The sequence below is a fragment of the Homo sapiens genome, chromosome 19, assembly GCF_000001405.40.
Source record: "Homo sapiens chromosome 19, GRCh38.p14 Primary Assembly".
NCBI classification, from domain to species: Eukaryota; Metazoa; Chordata; class Mammalia; order Primates; family Hominidae; genus Homo; species Homo sapiens.
This window is the reverse complement of record NC_000019.10, coordinates 53,102,798-53,107,878: the sequence shown is the minus strand read 5'-3', so window position 1 is coordinate 53,107,878 and position 5,081 is coordinate 53,102,798. Positions and strand designations below refer to the sequence as shown.

Genomic DNA, 5,081 nt, shown 5'->3' with positions numbered 1-5,081 from the left:
CTGGTTGTCTCAGATTTTAAAATATTTTATTTATTTATTTTAGGTGTCTTGCAAGGCTACTACTTTATACTTTAGGATTTATGACTTTCAACCAAAACCTTGAAATGTGTTGATAGGCCTCCTTACCTGCCTTTCATGGCAATGTCTGGGAAAGAATCAGTAAGATGGAAGGGCTCACTGCATTAGATGAGGATCATTTCTATTCAGATTCTTTGAAGAATAAGGACTCTGCCTTGGCAAATTACCAAGCATGGGGGCAGGCAGAGAATAATGCAAAATGATGGTGTTGATCATCATCCTTATTGTGTTTAGGGTGTTCTCCTGATAGACGGCACTTTGGGTTACAGGAAAGAGATGACCTGCAACCTGACCATGAAACAGAGCAGACCACGACCGGGCGCAGTGGCTCACACCTGTAATCCCAGCACTTTGGGTGGCTGAGGTGGGTGGATCATGAGGTCAGGAGTTCAAGACCAGCCTGGCCAAGATGGTGAAACCCCGTCTCTACTAAAAATACAAAAATTAGCCGGGCGTGGTGGTGGGCGCCTGTAATCCCAGCTACTTGGGAGACTGAGGCAGGAGAATCGCTTGAACCCAGGAGGCGGAGGTTGCAGTGAGCCGAGATTGCACCACTGCACTCCAGCCTAGGTGACTGAGAGAGACTGTGCCTCAAAAAAAATCAGAGCAGATCAAGACCTTAGACACTGGGATTTGTGGGAGGAGTGTAATGGGTTATTAGTGACTGATTACATGGTGGAAATAATTCAGGGGAAAACGGTGGCCACCTTCTGCATGGAATGGCCATCGCTGTTATATAGCCAAGATTGAAACCACAATAGAAACCACAACCTCAGAGATGAACCACAATAGCATGTTATTGATTAGGATTCACATTTACTGCTGGTATTACATTTTGCTACTGTTTTATTCAGAATGTATCATAGATCTCGTGCTAATTAATCTGATTTTTGCATAACTATGAATGCATCATGTTCTCTCTGCCAACATAGTTTTATCCCACCTCAGTAGGTTACTTTGTAACAGACAATAACAACACACCATTAGACTCTTAAGGCTGAAAGATAGAACCATTTTTTTTTTTCTTGGAATTAAATAGAGTGTTGGGAACATACACTTACAGAGTGCACTTGAGTTGTTCTCCCCGCCCATACCCTGCCTCAGGATACTTATGTGAATATAATGAAAATCCCAAGAAAGTTATTTTACACCATGAAAGCTGTATCACTCTTTTTTTTAATTTTTATTTTTCGAGACGGAGTCTTGCTCTGTTGCCCAGGCTGGAGTGCAGTGGCACAATAGCTCACTGCAGCCTCCGCCTCCCGGGTTCAAGCGATTCTCCTGCCTCAGCCTCCAAGGTAGCTGGGATTACAGGCGCCCACCACCACGTTCGGCTAATTTGTGTATTTTTAGTAGAGAACGTTTCACCATGTTGGCCAGGCTGGTCTCAAACTCGTGATCTCAAGGGATCTGCCTGCCTCGGTCCCCCAAAATGCTGGGATTGCAGGTGTGAGCCACCATGCCCAGCTACAGACTTTTCTTTTTTGAGGTTTTTGATAACTAATTCACTTTATTAATTCATTCATTCATTCATTTATAGGATGGAGTCTCACTGTGTCGCCAGGCTGGAGTGCAGTGGTACGATCTCATCTCACTGCAACCTCTGCCTCCTGGTTTCAAGCAATTCTGCCTCAGCCTCCTGAGTAGCTGGGACTACAGGGACAGGCCACCACACCCAGCTAATTTTTGTGTTTTTAGTAGAAACGGGGTTTCACCATGTTGGTCAGGATGGTCTCGATCTCTTGACCTCGTGATCCACCCGCCTCAACCTCCCAAAGTGCTGGGATTACAGGTGTGAACCACCGCGCCCAGCCTTATTTATTTATTTGAGACAGAGTCTCGCTCTGTCACCCAAGCTGAAGTGCAGTGGCACAATCTCGGCTCACTGCAGCCTCTGCCTCCCTGGTTTAAGCAATTCTCCTGCCTCAGCCTCCTGAGTAGCTGGGATTACAGGTGTGCACCACCACGCCTGGCTAATTTTTGTTTTTAGTAGAGATGGGTTTTCGCCATGTTGACCAGGCTGGTCTCGAACTCCTGACCTCATGTGATCCACTCGCCTCAGCTTCCCAAAGTGCAAGGATTGCAGGCGTGAGCCACCATGCCCAACCCTCTGAACCATTCTTTGTCAGTGTAATTTGGAACAACTTTTCCTTAACAACAGCCAACAGCCCCTCCCAAGAGTAGGCTTTTTTTTTTTTTTTTGAAAGACAGGTTCTCACTCTGTTGCCCAGACTGGAGTGCAGTGTCAGGATCATAGCTAACTGCTGCCTCGAACTCCTGGGCTCAAGCAATCTTCCTGAGTAGCTGGGACTACAGGTGTGTGCCACCATGCCCAGCTAATTTTTAAAAATTTTCTGTAGAGATGGGAGTCTTGCTATGTTGCCCAAACTGGTCTTGAATTCCATGATGAGCCAGGCTCACATTTGTAATCCCAACACTTTGGGAGATCAGGGCGGGAGGATCAGTTGAGGCTAGAAGTTCAAGACTTGCCTGGGCAACATAGTGAGAATCCGCCTTTGCAAAAAGTAAAAAAATTAGTGGAGTGTGGCGGTGCAAACCCGTAGTCCCAGCCACTTGGGAGACTGAGGTAGGAGGATCACTTGATTCCAGAGTTGAAGGCTGCAGTGAGCTATGGTCTTGACACTGCACTCTAGCCTGGGCAACAGAGCAAGATGCTCTCTCAAAAAATAAATAGACCGGGCACGGTGGCTCACGCCTGTGATCCCAGCACTTTGGGAGGCCAAGGTGTGGGGGATCCCTCGAGCTCAGGAGTTCGAGTCTAGCCTGAGCAACATGGCGAAACCCCGTCTCTACAAAAAGTACAAAAATTAACTAGGCATGGTGACGTGTGCTTGTAGTCCCAGCTACTGGGGAGATTGAGGTGGGAGGATTGCCTGAGCCTGGTAGATGAAAAGTTGCAGTGAGCAGAGATGACGCCACTGCACTCCAGCCTGGGTGACAGAGCAAGACTCTCTCCAAGAAATATGTAACATTTTTAACATAACATAACATAACATAACAAACTTTCCCTGAATAACTGTAGTCATGCCAAGTGCTCATCCACAGCCTCATAACTTGTGCTTGTGCTTTCTAGCCTTGTTTACTCCTCCATATATGAAAAAAAGAAAAAAAAGCTTTTTAGTTTGTGTCTCTTGGACATTTTCAGATCTTGTGATTGGAACATTCTCTCTATTGCAATAGTCCTTTTGAATAAAATCTTCCTTCTCTAAGTCTGAATTTGTCATTTACAGTGGTAAATATCTTAATTGTTCTGAGATAAATTATGTATATTATCTTTTTGTGGCAAAGGACTTAATATATATTCAGTAGGTGAAAGTAGTTCCTGGGGCCAGGTATGGTGGCTCACGCCTGTAATCCCAGCACTTTGGGAGGCTGAGGCGGGTGGATCACTTGAGGTCAGGAATTCGAGACCAGCCTAGGCAACATGGTGAAACTTCATCTCCGCTAAAGAACGTGGTGGCGGGCGCCTGTAATCCTAGCTACTCGGGAGGCTGAGGCAGGAGCATTGCTTGAACCCGGGAGGCCGAGGTTGCAGTGAGCAGAGATCATGCCACTGCACCCCAGCCTGGACGACAGAGCGTGACTCCGGCTCAAAAAAAAAAAAAAAAAGTATAGGCGTTTGAGGTTGTCATCTCGCACGGAATAGAATAGTAAGTATAAAAAAGGACAATGCAATTTATATCTATTTTTTAAAAGTTACTGCTAATTTCAGGGCTTTTAAATTACTTAATTTTAATCGCAGAAACTTTTCCAGCATGCCATCACCGCTCCGTGTCAACCCATGTTCCCAGACTCCTGGGCTGCTTCAGCGTCAATAACATTACTGGGTAAACGCGCTAGCAAAAAATGCTTTCAACATAAACCGCCTCCATTCTAAGAGGAAAGCAGTTTGGTTTCCAAAATAACCTACACAACTGTGCTTTTAACTTGAAACCGTTTGAAACATCTACGCCGTTCCACAAGACACTACAGATGGCTCTGGGCGCTGGGCTGTGGGCATCACACGAAATCGCAGACCCTAACGTGTCCCGTCCAGCCCCGCCTCTCCCCCGGGTCCCTTCCTGGCGGTCCCTCTGCCTCCCTCCCCCGCGGTCCCTTCGCCTTCCTCCCCCGCGGTCCCTTCCCGCGGTTCCTCCCCGCCCTTCCCCGGCGGCTCCTCCCCGGCCCGCCCCCGGGTCCCTCCACTTGGTCACTCCCCACCCCTCCCCGGTGGCTCCTCCCCGTTCCTTCCCTGGGGTCCCTGCCTGGCGGCCCCTGCTTCAGCCCGGCTCTCTCAACGCCCCGCCCTTTTCCGGTTCCGCCCATCTCGGACCCCGCCCCGGGCCGCTCGGTCGCTTTCCTTCGCGCAGTTGCCCACAGACCCGGAAGTGGATCGTGCGGAGCAAGCATCACACCATGGCGTATGAGTGTTCCTCTGTGTAGACTCAACCTGCGCCTCGCCGTCCCCCATTCGCACACCCGATGCCCGGGGGTCGCTACGGACTTAAAATCTCCGCACCGCACCCTCCACCTCAGGTAAATAGGCCTTGCTGTGTGGGCCCGGAGACGCTTCCTTTTGGGTTAAAGTCGCCCTGAGGCTGGTCCCTGCCCCCGGTCTTTCTGCCTTGGGCCAAGTAAACACGGCCTTTCCCGGTTTTTTAAACGTTTAAGCAGGATTTTCCTGCTTAAAATCCTTTACTGACTCCTCCTCCCGCCCCGCATCGCTTAAAGTCCTCACCGCCTGCCCTGGGCGCCTCCCAGCCTCGCTCTCGTCGGCCCCTGGAGCGCAGCGCCGCCGACCCAGTCCCGGGGAGGCCGCGCCTCCGCCTGGTCCTGGGATCCTGCACATCCCACCCCTGTCCTAAGGCGCCGTCGCCCCCCACCTCCCTCCTCCTCGTGCCGGGCCCTGCTGCTCCCCAGGCCTCCCCTTCGCAGTCACCGCTTCCCTTGAGCCCTCGTTGGGGAGGTGCCCGGGGCCCGTCCTGTGACACCCGGTGTTTTTG

At 50.0% G+C, this 5,081-nt stretch overlaps 1 protein-coding gene across 41 annotated transcripts in view, besides 1 other annotated feature; it reads left to right on the top strand.

Annotated features, from left to right (window-relative positions):
- Window positions 4,005-4,414: a silencer, noted in NCBI's record as "silent region_11003". NCBI's record gives its function as "represses an Ori minimal core promoter by ATAC-STARR-seq in GM12878 lymphoblastoid cells {active_cell/tissue: GM12878}" and the evidence as "EXISTENCE:reporter gene assay evidence [ECO:0000049][PMID:35858748]".
- ZNF160 (zinc finger protein 160) overlaps window positions 4,457-5,081 on the top strand; it is a 36,809-nt gene continuing 36,184 nt past the window's right edge. For all 41 annotated transcript variants that reach the window (NM_001322135.2, XM_047439638.1, XM_047439632.1 and 38 more), the window contains exon 1: window positions 4,457-4,614. The gene's annotated coding sequence lies outside the window, so the exon portion shown is untranslated. The remainder of the gene's footprint in view (window positions 4,615-5,081) is intronic.